The sequence below is a fragment of the Homo sapiens genome, chromosome 5 (genome assembly GCF_000001405.40).
Source record: "Homo sapiens chromosome 5, GRCh38.p14 Primary Assembly".
NCBI lineage: Eukaryota > Metazoa > Chordata > Mammalia > Primates > Hominidae > Homo > Homo sapiens.
Genome location: NC_000005.10, coordinates 94590538 through 94607522, shown reverse-complemented (window position 1 = coordinate 94607522; position 16985 = coordinate 94590538). Strand labels below are relative to the sequence as shown.

Sequence of the window (16985 nt, the reverse complement as noted above, 5' to 3'; positions counted from 1 at the left end):
ATTCTCCTGCCTCCGCCTCCTGAGTAGCTGGGATTATAGGTACCTGCCACCAGGCACAGATAATTTTTGTATTTTTAGTAGAGGGTTGGCCAGGCTGGTCTTCAACTCCTGACCTCAGGTGATCCACCTACCTCAGCCTCCCAAAATGTTGGGATTACAGGCATGAGCCACCGCACCCAGCCTGATTTCCTAAAGTGTCACAGATTTTGCACTTTTAGTGCAAATGTCAATATAGCAAAAATGACATATAATGTTTTGTTGTTATAAAAATAGTTTTGACCTTGCACACCACCTGAAGGAGTATCAGGATTCCTTCAGAAGTTTGTAGATTATACTTTGGGATCTCGTATATAACTTCATACTTTCTATGTGCCAGCCACTAGCCTGGGAAATGGGATATAAAAGTTAAGAAGGTATAGTCTTGTTTTAAGAAGATTATATAGTCTAGTGGTTGAGAAAGTGATATGGTTTGGACATTTGTCCCCTCCTATTGGGAGGTGTTTGGATCATGGTGGCAGGTCCCTCATGAATGGCTTGGTGCCCTCCATGTAGTAATGAATTCACTTGAGAGCTGGTTGTTTAAAAGAGACTGGTACCTCCTCCTGTTTCTTGACCCCTGTCTTGCATGTGATACACAGGTTCTTGCTTTGCCCTCTGCCATGACTGTAAGCCTCCTGAGGCCTCACCAGAAGCTGAGCAGATGCTGGCACTGTGCTTGTACAGCCTGCAGAACCACGAGCCCCCACTTTAATATGTTTGTTTGTTTTTCTCTGGTAAATTTCTTTAAGTCCCTTTAGATGCTGAATATTAGATCTTTGTCAGATACATAGTTTCCAAATATTTTCTCCCATTCTGTAGGTTATCTGTTTACTCTATTGATAGTTTCTTTGTCAAAAATCACATAGTTGTAGATATGCGGCCTTATTTCTGATATGGGCTCCCTATTCTGTTCCTTTGGTCTGTGTGCCTGTTTTTGTACCAATACCAAGTTGTTTTGGTCACTGTTGCCTTGTAGTGTAGTTTGAAGTTAGGTAACACCGTTCCTCCAGCTTTGTTGTTTCTGTTTAGGATTACCTTGGTTATTCAGGCTCTTTTTTAGTTCCATATAAGTTTTAAAATAATTTGTTCTAGTTCTGTGAAGAATGTCATTGGTGGTTTGATAGGAATAGCATTGAATCTATAAATTACTTTGGGCAATGTAGCCATTTTAATGATATTGATTCTTTCTATCCATGAGCATGGGATGTTTTTCCATTTGTTTGTGTTTTCTCTAATTTCTTTGAGGAGTGTTTTGTAATTCTCATTGTAGAGATCTTTCACCTCCTTGGTTAACTGTATTTTTAGGTATTTTATTTTTGTGGCATTTGTGAATGGGATGGCCTTTCTGATTTGGCTCTCAGTTTGGTTGTTGTTGGTATATAGGAATGCTAGTGATTTTTGTATGATTTTGTATCCTGAAACTTTGCTGAAGTTGTTTATCAGCTGAAGGAGCCTTTGGGCTAAGACTATGGGGTTTTCTAGATATAGAATCATGTCATCCGCAAACAGATAGTTTGACTTCCTCTGTTCCTATTTGGAAGCCCTTTATTTCTTTCTCTTCTCTGATTGCTCTGGCTAGGACTTTTGATACTATGTTGAATGGAAGTGGCGAGAGAGGGCATCCTCATGCCAGTTTTCAAGGGGAAACTGCTTCCAGCTTTTGCCCATTCAGTATAATGTAGGCTGTGGGTTTGTCATAGATAGCTCTTATTATTTTGAGGTATGTTCCTTCAATACCTTGTTTATTGAGAGTTTTTAACATGAAGGGATGTTGAATGTTATCAAAAGCCTTTTCTGCATCTATTGAGATAATCATGTGGTTTTTGTCTTTACATCTGTTTATTTGGTGAATCACATTTATTGAGTTGAGTATGTTGAACCAACCTTGCATCCTGGGAATGAAGCCTAGTTTATCAGGTTTCATAAGCTTTTTGATGTGCTGCTAGATTCAGTTTGCAAGTATTTTTTTGATGATTTTTGCACTGATGTTCAGCTAGAATATTGGCCTGAAGTTTTCTTTTTTTGCTGTGTCTCTGTCAGGTTTTGGTATCAGGATGATGCTGGCCTCATAGAATGAGTTAGGAAGGAGTACCTCCTTTTCAATTTTTTGAAATAGTTTTAGTAGAAGTGATACCAGCTCTTGTTTGTACATCTGGTAGAATACACCTGTGAATCCATCTGGTTCTGGGCTTTTTTTGGTTGGTAAGCTATTTATTACTGCTTCAATTTCAGAACTTCTTATTGTTCTGTTCAGGGATTTAATTTTTTCCTGGTTCAGTCATGAGAGGATGTATGTCTCCAGGAATGTATCCATTTCTTCTAGATGTTCTAGTTCATTTACATAGAGGTGTTTATAATATTCTCTGATGGTTGTTTTTATTTCTGTGTAGTCAGTGGTAATGTCCCTCTTATTATTCCTGATTGTGTTTGTTATTTCTGATTGTGTTTGTAATCTTCCCTCTTTTCTTCTTCATTAATCCAGCTAGCCGTCTATCTATTTTTTTAATTTTTTTGAAATCCAGCTCCTGGATTTGTTGATCTTTTAAATGGCTTCTTTTCTTGTCTCTATCTCCTTCAGTTCAGCCCTTATTTTGGTTATTTCTTGTCTTCTGCTAGCTTTGGGATTTGTCTGCTTTAGGTTCTCTAGTTCTTTTAATTGTAATGTTAGCTTGTTAACTTGAGATCTTTCTAGCTTTTTGATGTAGGCATTTAGTGCTATAAATTTCCCTCTTAACACTGTCTTAACTGTGTCCCAGAGATTCTAATACATTGTATCTTTGTTCTTAGTTTCAAAAAACTTTTTGATTTCTGCCTTTATTTCATTATTTACTCAAAAGTCATTCAGGAACATGTTACTCAATTTCCATGTAATTGTATCATTTTTGAGTGTTTTTTGTTTGTTTGTTTGTTTGTTTGTTTGTTTTTGAGATGGAGTCTCATTCTGTCGCCCAGGCTGGAGTGCAGTGGTGCAATCTCAGCTCACTGCAACCTCCGCTTCCTGGGTTCAAGTGATTTTCCTGCCTTTGCCTCCCAAGTGGCCAGGATTAAAGGTGCCCATCACCATGCCCAGCTAATTTTCATATTTTTACTAGAGACAGGGTTTCGCCATGTTGGCCAGGCTGGTCTCAAACTCTCAATTCCTGACCTCAGGAGATCCACCCATCTTGGCCTCCCAAAGTGCTGGGATTACAGGCATGAACCACCATAAGTGAATTTTTTAGTCTTGAGTTCTAATTTGATTGTGCTGTGGTTTGAGAGACTGTTATGATTGCAATTTTTTTTGCATTCACTGAGGAGTGTTTTACTTCTGATTATGTGATCAATTTTAGAGTAAGTGCTATGTGGCAATGAGAAGAATGTATGATTCTGTTGTGTTTGAATGGAGAGTTCTGTAGATATCTATCAGGTTTATTTGATCCAGAGCTGAGTTCAGGTCCTAAATATCTTTGTTAATTTTCTGTCTTGTTCATCTATCTAACATTGTCAATGGGGTATTAAAGTCTCTCATTTATTATTGTGTAAGAGTCTAAGTCTCTTTGAAGGTCTCTAAGTACTTGCTTTATGAATCTGGGTGCTCCTTTGTTGGTTGCATATATATTCAGGGTATTTAGCTCTTCTTATTGAATCGAACCCTTTACCATTATGTAATGTCCTTCTTTGTCATTTTTTAATCTTTGTTCGTTTGAAGTCTCTTTTGTCAGAAACTAGGATTGCAACACCTGCTTTTTTCTGTTTTCCATTTGCTTGGTAAATTTCTCTCCATCCCTTTATTTTGACCCTATGTGTGTCATCGCATGTGAGATGGGTTTCTTGCAGGCAGCATACAATTGGGTCTTGGTTCTTTATTCAGCTTGCCACTCTTATGTCTTTTAATTGGGGCATTTATCCCATTTACATTTAAGGTTGATATTGTTATATGTGAATTTGATCCTGTCATCTTGATGCTAGCTGGTTATTATGCACACTTCTTATGTGGTTGTTTCATAGTGTCATTGGTCTGTGTACGTTAGTGTGTTTTTGTAATGTCTGGTAGTATTTTTTCCTTTTTACATTTAGTGCTTCTTTCAGTAGCTCTTGTAAGGCAGGTATGGTGGTAACAAATTTCCTCAGCATTTGCTTGTCTGAAAATGATCTTATTTCTCCTTCATTTATGAAGCTTAGTTTGGCCGGATACAAAATTCTGGGTTGGAATTGCTTTTCTTTAAGAATGCTAAATATTGGCCCCCAGTATCTTCTGGCTTGCAGGGTTTCTTCTAAGAGGTTCACTATTAGTTTCATGGGCTTCCCTTTATAAGTGACTTTTCTCTCATGCTGCCTATATTAGTCAATTTTCATGCTGCTATAAGGACATACCCGAGGCCAGATGCAGTGGCTCACACCTGTAATCCCAGCACTTTGGGAAGCCGAGGCAGGTAGATCATGAGGTCAGGAGTTCAAGACCAGCCTGGCCAAGATGGTGAAACCCCATCTCTACTAAAATTACAAAAATTAGCCTGACGCAATGGCAGGCACCTGTAATCCCAACTACTTGGGAGGCTGAGGTGGGAGAATCACTTGAACCCGGGTGGCAGAGGTTGCAGTGAGCTGAGATCATGCCACTGCACTCCAGCCTGGGTGACAAAGTGAGACTCTGTCTCAAAAAAAAAAAAAAAGGCATACCCGAGATTGGGCAATTTACAAAGGGAGGAGGTTTAATTGACTCACAGTTCCTCAGGAAACTTACACTCATGGTGGAAGGTGAAACAAACACTTCTTTTTTCACAAGGCAGCAGGAGAGGGAAGAATGGAAGGTGAAGCAAACACTTCCTCTTTCACAAGGCAGCAGGAGAGAGATGAGAGCCAAGTGAAGAGGGAAGCCCGTTATAAAACCATCAGATCTTGTGAGAACTCACTCACTATCATGAGAACAGCATGAGGGTAAGCACTCCCTTGATTCAATTACTTCCCAGAGGGTTCCTCTCAACAACACGTTGGGATTACGAGAACTACAATTCAAGATGAGATTTGGATGGGGACACAGCCAAACTATATCACTGCCCTTAACAATTTTTCTTCCATTTCCACCTTGAAGAACCTGATGATTATGTGTCTTGGGGAAGATCTTCTCATGGAATATCTTTTTTTTTTTTCTTTGAGACAGAGTCTTGCTAAGTTGCCCAGGCTGGAGTGCAGTGGCACGATCTCGGCTCACTGCAAGCTCCGCCTCCCAGGTTCACGCCATTCTCCTGCCTCAGCCTCCCGAGTAGCTGGGACTACAGGTGCCCGCTACCACACCTGGCTAATTTTTTTTGTATTTTTAATAGAGATGAGGTTTCACCATGTTAGCCAGGATAGTCTTGATCTCCTGACCTCATGATCCGCCTGCCTTGGCCTCCCAAAGTGCTGGGATTATAGGCGTGAGCCACCTCGCCCAGCCTTCTCATGGAATATCTTAGCAGGGTTCTCTGCATTTCCTGAATTTGAATGTTGGCCTATCTAGCAAGGTTGTGGAAGTTCTCATGGATGATATCCTGAAATATGTTTTCCAAATTGGTTCCATTCGCCTCAGTTCTTTCAGGTACACCAGTCAGTCATAGATTTGATCTTTTTACGTAACCCCATATTTCTCGGAAATTTTGTTCATTCCTTTTTATTCTTTTTTTCTCTGTTCTTGTCTACCTGTCCTCTTTCAGAAAGACAGTTTTCAAGTTCTGAGATTCTTTCCTCCTGTTGGAGTATTCTGCTATTAATACTTGTGATTGCATTATGAAATTGTTGTATGGTGTTTTTCAGTTCTATCCGGTCAGTTATATCCTCTGTCCTGGATATTTTGTCAGCTCCTGCAATGTTTTATTGTGATTTTTAGCTTTCTTGCATTGATTTAAGACATGCTCCTTTAGCTCAGTGGTTTGTTTTTATCTACATTCTGAGGTCTACTTCTGTTCAGCCATATCAGCCTCAGCCCCTTTCCAAAACCTTGCTGGAAAGGTGATGTGGTCATTTGAAGGAGAGAATGCACTCTGGCTTTTTTTGAGTTTTCAGCATTCTTGTACTGATTCTCATCTTTGTGGGCTTTATCTACCTTTATTCTTTGAGGTTGCTGACCTTTGGATGGGGTTTGGGGTTTTTTCGTTGTTGCTGTTTTCTTTTTTAAGAGTCTGACCACTTTCCCATAGCGCTGCTGCAGTTTGCTGGGCATCTGCTCCAGTCCCTAGTTGCCTCAGATCTTCCAGTATCTGGAGGTATCACCAGTGAAGGCTGTGAAATAGTAAAGATGGCAGCCTACCGCTACCTCTGGGAGCTTTGTCCCAAGGGGTACAGACCTGTTATTGGCCCAAATGTACATGCAGGAGGTAATTGGAGACCCCAGTTGGGGTCATCCAGCCAGGAGGAACAGGATCATGGGGATCTGCTCTACTTTAGTAGAGCAGCCATGCTGTGCTGCGGTACTCTTTCTGCCCCCGCATCAGGTTGGGCTTTCTGAAGCCTAGAGGCTGGAATAGCTAAGTTGCTGAAACACCTAAGTTGCTGAAACAGCAAAGATGGCGGCCAACCCCTCCCTCTAGAAACTCTTTCCCAGGAAATTTTCAAACCTCTGTGGGCTAGAGAATGTCAGTGGGAGTGGCTGGAGTCCCCCATTTAGGAAGTCCCATCCAGTGAGGAGAAACAGATTGGGGACCCACTTAAGGAAGCAATCTGGTCACACTTTTGTAGAGTAGCTATGTGGTGCTGTGGTACTACTTCCACTCCCAGGTGGTTTGGACTCTCTTAAGCCCACAGACTAGAATGGCTGAGTTGTCCAAGCAGCCTCAAGTATTCCTTTATAGAAATGTAAACAGATTAACACAGAGAGGTAAGTGAATCAGTGATGGCAGACAGCACAGAGTGACCAGCACCCTAACAGAGGCATAATCAAGTTATGGTGGTAATACTAAATATATATTGGAGAAAGAAAGAGACATAATCCTTCTCTTTATGTGTTTTCAGTTTACTGAGATGACAAAAATGATTATAAAATACATTAAGGTATTAAGGAAATATAAGGAATATATATATACACATAAGGAAATATATAAGGAAATATAAGGAATATAATATATGTAAGGAAATATAAATATAAGGAAATATAAGGAATATATATATGAAACTATATAAGGAAATATAAGGAATATAATATGCTATTAAGGAAATATCCCCACTGATGGGACAGGGAAGAAATGTTTATAATTCATCAGCTGTGTATGAGGGTTTCAATTTCTCCACATTCTCCCATCACTTGTTATTTTTGTCTTTTGATTATAGACGTTCTAGTGAGTTGTGAAGTGGCAATACTTCCCCAAATTAATCTACAGATTTAATGCAATTCCTATTTTAAAAACCCAGCTGATATCTCATGTGGTCTCAATTTGCATTTCTCTAATGATGTTAAACATTTTTTCATGTACTTATTGGCCATTTATATGTCTTCCTCGGAGAAATATATATTCAAATTCTTGGCCATTTTAAAATTGAGTTATTTATCTTTGTATTGTTTAGTTGTACTAGTTCCCCCCTTTTTTTTGGGGGGGTGGACAACACATGACAGTATTGATCTTAATCTAGAGTTTCATAGTAAACTTGCTAAAACCTAAATCAGATTACATTCCTCTGAGCTCCAAAACCTCTGCGGCATTCCATTGCCTCCTGCAGTCTTACTGGGGCAGAGAATGCTGTGAAGATTTTGTACTAGTGCTTTATGTATTCTGGGATACATGATTTGCATATATTTTCTCCTATTCCATAGGTTGTCTTTTCACTTTGTGGATAATCTTTGAAACACAGCAGTTTTGAATTTTAATGCAGTCCAATTTATCAATTTTTTTCTTTTGTTGATTCTGCTTTTGGTATTACATTAAGAAACCATTGCCTACTCCAGTGTCAAGAAGATTTCCACCTTTGATTTGTTCTAAGAATTTTTGCATTTTAGTTCTTAAAGTTTTTGATCAACTTTGAGTTTTTTTTTAATATCTTGTGAGGAAAGAGTCCAAGTATAATTCTTTGTATGTTGATATTTAGTGTCTCAGCAACATTTTTTGAGAAGACTAATATTTTCCCTGTTAACTTTTCATGGAACCCTCATCAAAAATCAGTTGAAATACAAGAAACTCCATAGCAAAAAAAAAAAAAAAAAAAACCCAAATAATCAGATTTTAAAATAGGCACAGGATCTGAATAGGCATTTCTCAAAAGAAGTTATACAAATGCCCAATAAGTATATGAAAACATGCTCAACACCACTAGTCATCAGGGAAATGCAAATCAAAATCACAATGAGGTAGCTTCTAATCCCAGTTAGGATGGCTATTATTAAAAAGACAAAAAATACCAAATGCTATCAAAGATGCACAGAAAAGAGAACTCTTACATACTGTTGGTGGGAATATAAGTTAGTACAATCATGATAGAAAACAGTATTCAGCTTTCTAAAAAGAAAAACTGAAAATAGAACTACCATATGATCCAGCTGTCCCTCTACTGAGTATTCATCTAAAGGAAAGGAAATCAGTATATTGATGAAATACCTTCACCCCCATGTTTATTGCAGCACTATTCACAATAGCCAAGATATGAAATCAACCTAAACGTCTATCAGCAAATGAATGGATAAATAAAGTGTGGTATACAGTCATGTGCCACATAACGACATTTTGGTCAACTAAAGACCACAAATATGATAGTGGTCCCATATGATTATCATGGATCTGAAAAATTCCTTTTGCCCAGTAATATCATAGCTGTCATATGTAGTGTAATGCATTACTTGTGTTTGTGATAATGCTGGTGTACACAAACCTACCAGTTTTATAAAAATATAATTATGTACAAAGCATACAGTGCATAATAGTTGATAATGATAATAAATGACTGTGTTACTGGTTTATGTATTTACTATATATTTCATTATTATTTTAGCATATTCTTCTTCTACTTATAAAAAAGACTGTTAACTGTAAAACAGTTAACAGCTTCCCTGTAAAACAGCTTCAAGCAAGTCCTTCAGGTAATATTCCAGAAAAAAAGCATTGTTATAGAATATTTCAGAAAAAGGCATTGTTATACTCCCTATGCTTGTTATTGCCCATGAAAACCTTCCAGGGAGACAAAATGTGGAGGTGGAAGTCTGTGATATTGATCACCCTGACCCTGTGTAGGCCTAGGCTAATATGTGTGTGTGTTTCTTATTTTTTAACAAAATAGTTTCAAACATTAAAAAAAGTCTTAAAATATTTTTTAAAAACTTATAGAATAAGGCTATAAAGGTAAATATTTTGTACATTGTGTTTTATGCTAACTGTTATTACACAAAAGTAAAAAAATAATTTTAAGTTTATAAAGTAAAAAAGTTACAGTAAGCTAAGGTTAATTTATTATTGACAAAAGAAAAATACTTTTTACAAATATAGTGTAGCCTAAGTGTACAGTGGTTAATAAAGTCTACAGTAGTGTTCAGTAATGTCCTAGGCCTTCACATTCACTCACCATTCACTGACTCACCCAAAGCAACTTCCAGTCCTATAAGCTCCATGAATGATAAGTGCCATATACCAGTGTACCATTTTTTTGTCTTTTATACTATATTTTTACCATACCTTTTCTATGTTTAGATACACAAATACTTACCATTGTGTTACAATTGCCTGCAATATTTAGTACAGTCATATGCTGTAACAGTTTGTAGCCCAGGAGCTGTAAGCAATACCATTATAGCCTAGGTATATAGTAGGCTATACCATTGATGTTTGTGTAGGTACACTGTATGATGTTCATACAATGAAAAAATTGCCTAATGATGCACTTCTCAGAATGTATCACCATCTTTAAGTGACACATGACTATATACAGAATGGGATATGTTTGTCTTGGATATCAGGGTAGTACTGTCATTGTAGAATGTCTTGGAAAGGTTTCTTTCCTTTGTTTCCTGAAAGAGCTATTAATTACTTTCAAACACTTTTATGCATCATATGAAATGTGTAATATTGTGTTTTTTCTTTAATTCAGTAAAATATATTTTCTTATACTGCTGTCACTTTTTTTGGTGCATTGGTTATTTAGGAGTGTGCTCTTTAACTTCCAAATATTGAGGGTTTTCCCAGATTTCTTTCTGCTATTGATTTCTAATTTAATTCAGTTGTGCTGATAAAACATATGTTTTATGATTATATTCTTTTAAAATTTATTGAGACTTGTTTATGACCTAGGTACATGGTCTATTTTGGATAATGTTCTTGATGGTTGCCCAAAAATGTGTATTCTCAGCCAACATCATACTGAATGGCCAAAAGCTGGGAGCATTCCCCTTAAAAACTGGCACAAGAAAAGGATGCCATCTCTAACCACTCTTGTTCAACATAGTATTGGAAGCCCTGGACAGAGCAATAAGGCAAGAGAAAGAAAGAAACAGCATCCAAATAGGAAGAGAGGAAGTCTTACTATCCCTGTTTGCAGATGACATGATTTTATATGTAGAAAACGACATAGTCTCAGCCTAAACACTCCTTTAGATGATAAAATAACTTCAGCAAAGTTTCAGGATACAAAATCAACATATAAAAATTACTAGCATTCCTATATACCAACAACAACCAAGCATGGTGCCAAATCAGGAACACAGTCCCATTCACAATTGCCACAAAAATAATAAAATACCTAGGAAGACAACTAACCAGGGAGGTGAAAGATCTCTACAATGACAATTACAAAACACTGATGAAATAAATCAGAGATGACACAAATAAATGGAAAAACATTCCACGCTCATGGATTGATAGACTCAATATCATTAAAATAGTCATACTGCCCAAAGCAATTTACAGATTTAATGCTATTCCTATCAAACTACCAATGACATTCTTCAGAGACTAGAAAAAAACTATTTTAAAATTCCTATGGAACAAAAGGAGCCCAAATAGCCAAGGCAATCCTTAGCAGAAAGAGCAAAGCCAGAGGCATCAAGTTAGTCAGTTTTAAACTACTACAGGGCTACAGTAACCAAAACATCATGTTACACTATAAAAACAGACACATAGACCAATGGAGAAGGATAGAGAGCCCAGAAATAAGGCCACACACCTACAACCATCTGATCTTTGTCAAAGTTGACAAGAACAAGCAATGGGGAAATGACCCCTATTCAATAAATTGTGCTGGGATAACTGGCTAGCCATATGCAGAAGTTTGAAGATGGACCCCTTACTTATATGATGTACAAAAATCGACTAAAATGGATTAAAGACTTAAATGTAAAACCCAAAACTATAAAATCCCTGGGAGAAAACCTAGAAAATACAGTTCTGGTCATAGGAAGTAGCAAAGATGTCATGACAAAGATGCCAAAAGCAATTGCAAAAATTGACAAATAGTACCTAATTAAACTTAAGAGCTTCTGCACAGCAAAAGAAACCATCAACAGAGTAAAAAGACAGCCTGCAGAGTGGGAGAAAATATTTGCAAACTATACATCTGGCAATAAAGTCCAGGCTGAGGTGTTCTCAGATGGAGATGAGGAACTTGTTGGGAACTAGAGCAATGATAACTCTTGTTATACTTTAGCAAAGAGATTGGTGGCATTTTGCCCCTGCCCTGGAGATTTGTTGAACTTTGAACTTGAGAGAGATGATTTAGACCATCTAGTGGAAGAAATTTCTAGGCAGCAAAGCATTCAGGATGTGACCTGGATGCCCTTAAAAGCATTCAGTTTTATATAGTCACAGAAAGATGGTTTGGAATTGGAACTTATTTTTAAAAGGGAAGCAGAGCATAACAGTTTGGAAACTTTGTAGCCTGCTGATGCAATAGCAAAGAAAAATGCATTTTCTGAGGAGAAGTTCAAGCAGCTGCCGAAATTTGCGTAAGTAACGAGGAGCCAAATGTTAATCGACAAGATAATGGGGAAATGTCTCCAGGGTATGTCAAAGATCTTCACAGCAGCCCCTCCCATCACAAGTGGGGAAGCCTAGGAGGAAAAAATGGTTTCGTGGGCTTGGCCCATGGCTTTGCTGCTGTGTGCAGTCTAGGGACTTGGTGCCCTGTATGCCAGCTGTGGCTAAAAGGGAGCAACGTACAGCTCAGGCCGTTGCTTCAGAGGGTGCAATTCCCCAAGCCTTTGCAGCTGACACATGGTTATCAGCCTGTGGGTGCACAAAAGTAAAGAATTGAGCTTTGAGAACCTCTGCTTAGAGTTCAGAGATGTATGGAAATGTATGGGTGTCCAGACAGAGGTGTGCTGCAGGGGTGTAGCCCTCATGGAGAACCTCTGCCAGGGCAGTGCAGAAGGGAAATGTGGAGTGGCAGCCCCCACACAGAGTCCCCACTGGGGGACTACCTAGTGGAACTGTGAGAAGAGAGCCACCATCCTTCAGACCCCAGAATGGTAGATCTGCCAACAGCTCGCACCTTGCATCTGGAAAAGCAACAGACACTCAACGCCAGCCTCTGAAAGCAGCCAGGAGGGGGACTATACCCTGAAAAGCCACAGAAGTGGAGCTGCCCAAGGCTGTGGGAGCCCACCTCTTACATCAGCATGCCTTGGATGTGAGACATGGAGTCAAAGAAGATTATTTTGGAGCTTTTTTTTTTTTTTTATCTACTATTTTTTATTTGAGTCAGGCCACTTAATTAAAATAAGTCCAAATGTGACACATGATAACACTCATTTTAAATAAAAACTACAATCATGATTCGACTTCTCTAAATGCATGTTCTCTCAGGTAGTCCATCCAAGCATCCTTTGTTGACAGTGCCATAGAGTTCCATTCAAACCAAGGAATCTGAATTATATGATAGCCCAAAAATTCCAAATGTCATTTTTTCATAGAAGATTTTCCTTTTATGTGAAGGATATTTCTACAAAATGCTTTTGAATCCAAAAATTCCAAAGCAATCCTTTCAGCTCCTGGTGGCAGCCTTGATCCAACTATTTCAGTATTTGATTCCCAGGGCATTTCTGGTAGTTGTCCCAATGTTATATTATGGCTTCCATAAAGAAGAGATTTTTTTCTTTCTTCCAAGATACACTCAAAATCTACTGTATGGTAATAAGGAGTAAGAACTGAGGCTTTTACACAATTGATTCCTCCTAGTACCTCTGCTAACATTTTATAAATCTGCTGTTGTGCTACATTCATGCCAGCAATACCTTTATTATATTGCTGACAGAAGCAGTCGAGAAACCATGGGATCTGAAACTCAGGGCATTCCAAGCAGACTGATCTATTTAGTTCCATAAGACAAAACTGGACTCTTGCACTTAGAGATGAAGATAAAATTTCAAGTTGAGAATCCAGTCTAGCTAAGAATTTGATATTAAAATTACCTTTAGCAGATATTCAGGAAAATATTCAAGTGTGGCCAAAGAGAAACCAAGAAACACTAACATAAGAGGATCCAATATACCTAAGTAGAAATTAAGATGTTGCACGCAAGTTCCAAAAACTTCATCCCTTTGAGGTGGATCATAGTTAAAAATTCTGAATGGAAGAGTAATAGCAAGGATTCTAAATGGATGGATTTATTTGGGTCACACTGTGGTAAAACTGCTTCAATTCTGGATATTCCCACTTCGTCCAAATGAGGAGAAGGGAGCAGGGAAATAGCAGAGGCCAGAATGGACATCTCAGTTGGTATGAAACTAATTTTCAAATAACTAAGCAATAATTCTCCAAGTTTCACAAAAAAACTCCCTACTTTGGAAATGCAGAAAAGTCAATGCTTGAGTTATCTTCAACAACTCTAATTGTTTATAGTTATCCAAATGTTTGTGCAGAACTGAAGCAACTCTTTTAATCAGACATGAATTTCTGCTTTCTATATCTTCCATTGTTCCCAACACTACCAGGGCTTACTCGTTGGTTAGCTCCTCTGACATCAATAACATAGTTGATTTAAGTTGTTTCTTTTCTTCAGGTCCTGCAATGGGTCCCAATGCTACAAAAAACTTTACAAAGCTTTCTAATAGTGGTTGATAATGATATCTAAAGTTTCGAAGAAACTGTACCATTCTTTTTGCAACGTTGACCTCAGAAGAATCTGTGGTGTCAAAAACAAGTTCCGTTTTGTTCACCAGTTGTTCTTGAAAATGTCGTGATATTAAAGAAGATATGTTGACCATCAAGACAGACAAGGAACTTAAGTTCTGGATGGTTTCCAAGTTCCTATGGACAATATCAGCTATTTTTCCCATTAATGGACTAAAATACAAATGCTGATCTGCTAAGCAAGAGGAAAATTCTGACAGCAGTTTAATATCAAACCTTTCTAGCCTACCCCATGCTTCTGTAACTAGTGCTTCAACTAGCGGATCGTGGGCCTCACCAGCAAACTGTTGTGTGATGTATAACACATTCACCAGGGTATTGCCATTCATTAATTTGAATTTATTTGTAGCTAAATTATGAAGAGTAAGAAATTGAGAATGGTCTCTGACATACTCAACATTTTTTAATAGACTGATCTTCTGCTTTTGAAGCTTCCAAAGTATATTAAATGTACATCCCACTTGTTTTTCTGAAAGTATGATTTTGTTTCTTTCAATAAAATCAAATATTTGCTCCTCATCTATACACTTATTCATCTGAATAATGAGTGGTTCACAACTGATGAGTCGAAATTGAAACACAGTCCAGGAGAATGGACAAATAGCTCTTAGCCGAAGCATATTTGTAACCAATGAGTCTAGGCAAACAGATGTTTTTTGATTTACATCACAAATTTTCTTAGGTAAACAAAACCGTCTGTAACTAGTTGTCAGGTGCAACAAACAGGGATAAAAGGAACTGTTTTTCCTTCGTGTATTTTGCTTCCATTACGATAACTGTAAACCCATTCCAATGTACAGCTTCAGCAAGGTTTTCCATCATCACACTGCAACTTTTCTGGAGGCTCCTGGGGTTATGAGAGATCAGAAGTCAGGGTTATTCCTGGTCCCAACATGGAATGCAACTGTCTTGGTTGTCTCACCCAACCCTCATATCCCAGGAGTCATAGCCTTTCCTCGAGAGACATCACCTTTCCCATGATAGAGCTTGCCCCCAGACCAGGAAAAAATGCCCAGCGAGAGCAGCATGCACTGCAGAAGTCACCTATTTTGAAGCTTTAAGATTTGACTGCCCTGCCAGATTTTGGACTTGCATGGGGCTTGTAGCTCCTTTGTTTTGGCCAATTTCTCCCATTTGGAATGGGTGTATTTACCCAATACCTGTACCCTTGCTGTATCTAGGAAGTAACAAACTTGCTTTTGATTTTATACGCTCATAGGTGGAAGAGATTTGCCTCATCTCAGGTGAAACTTTGGACTGTGTATTTTTGAGTTAATGCTGAAATGAGTTAAGACTTTGGGAAACTGTTGAGAGGCCTGATTGGTTTTGAAATGTGAGGACATGAGATTTGGCAGGGGCCAGGGGCAGAATGATATGTCTTGGCTGTGTCCCCACCCAAATCTCATCTTGAATTATAGCTGCCATAATTTCCACATGTCATGGGAGGGACCCAGTAGGAGGTAATGGAATCAAGGGGGTGGGTCTTTCCCATGCTGTTCTCATGATACTAAATAAGTCTCATGAGATCTGATGGTTTTATAAATGGGAGTTCCTTTGCACAAGCTCTCTTGCCTACCATCATGTAATATATGCCTTTGCTTCTCCACCTTCCGCCATGGTTGTGAGGCCTCCCCAGCCGTGTGGAACTGTGAGTCCATTAAACCTATTTTTCTTTATAAATTACCCAGTCTCGGGTATTTCTTTATAGCAGTGTGAAAATGCACTAATACAGTCTCTAATGTGAAAAACCATTTTTTCTTTGAATGTCAGTCAAGTAGTCCTTCGCTATGCATTCATATTAGAAAAAAGAAAATCTAAAACTACATAGAATTTATTTGGATAACACTGATTTTACTGGTATACTTTGCTTTAAATGAATAGGTTGGTAATGATCAGTATGCTAAAGTCAGCTAAAGACCAGAATGAGGCAGGCTTTTTTGGGGGGTACCCATGCCCATGCTTTCATAGTTTTGTAGACATTTAATTCATGTCTTGAAGCATATCATTTCTTGCATTTATTTCCCTTTACCCACAGTCAGATCTTTAATTAAAGACAAAGAAAATACAAAGTAGTGGCTTGCACTAAAAGGTAAGGAAGGGAGATTCATTGTTTCTTGAGCAAACCTTCAATTGATTGTGTTTTTTAGCTTCACTTTTTACTCCACTCTCTGCCATGGATATCAGGTCATTCTTTTAATTACAGTCCTCTTTGCATACATTTTAGAGTTTGGCTTTTTCTATTCTGTTTCTTCTGTGAATTCTCTTTCATCTGTCTGTGTTTTATAAATTTGTGATGATGACTCTTCATTTTTGTGGGTTTATATTTCTCTTCTCCATAATATAACTTCTTTACCTTTTTAAGGTATATCTGGAGGGACAGAAGGAAAATGTATGCTGCTTGAGCTTCCTAACCAGAAATTTTGTTCACATAATTTTAAACAGTTTTAACGTAATGTGTACTTGCTTTTTAGTCCTGTTTTCCTCTCCTTTTAAACATTTTCTACATTGCTCTCCTTTTTCATAATTGCTGTTTGCAGTAGATTATGGAAATGTTTTTAAAGAAACTGTTTTTATTATTATGGTTATTATTATTTTAGTTACTACTTTTTTCTCTTTATGCATTCCTTTATCCCAGCATCACACACATTTGCCTTTCCTTAGATAACCAATGTTACCAACATTGACAATGTGTGGAATAGTAAGTCTAATTGTTTCCTTTGTCAAATAATTGAAAGCTATGAAGAAGCACAGTTTGCTTTAAAGCCGGCTGACATTGTCATCAAGAAAGCAATTTCAGTTATGTATTGATTTTACAAGAAACCTTGTGATTTCAGCTATGGGGTATAGGTGATTTGCAGTATCTCAGTAATGGCTTCCTCACATTGGCATCCT

The 16985-nt window shown here is 38.0% G+C and overlaps 1 protein-coding gene and 1 pseudogene across 33 annotated transcripts in view; one reads left to right on the top strand and one right to left on the bottom strand.

Moving 5' to 3' along the window:
• Positions 1-16985, top strand: part of KIAA0825 — a 467754-nt gene that overhangs the window by 11082 nt on the left and 439687 nt on the right. For 3 of the 33 annotated variants that reach the window (XM_011543325.4, NM_001385720.1, NM_001385715.1), the window contains one exon: positions 8971-9058. The exons of 27 other annotated variants lie outside the window; for them this stretch is intronic. The gene's annotated coding sequence lies outside the window, so the exon portion shown is untranslated. Of the gene's footprint in view, positions 1-4804; positions 4957-8970; positions 9059-16985 lie in introns of those variants that run through there. 3 more of the 33 variants (XM_047417112.1, NM_001385721.1, XM_011543327.3) reach the window with 2 other exon arrangements.
• Positions 12647-15095, bottom strand: LOC100533629 (FAST kinase domains 1 pseudogene; annotated as a pseudogene).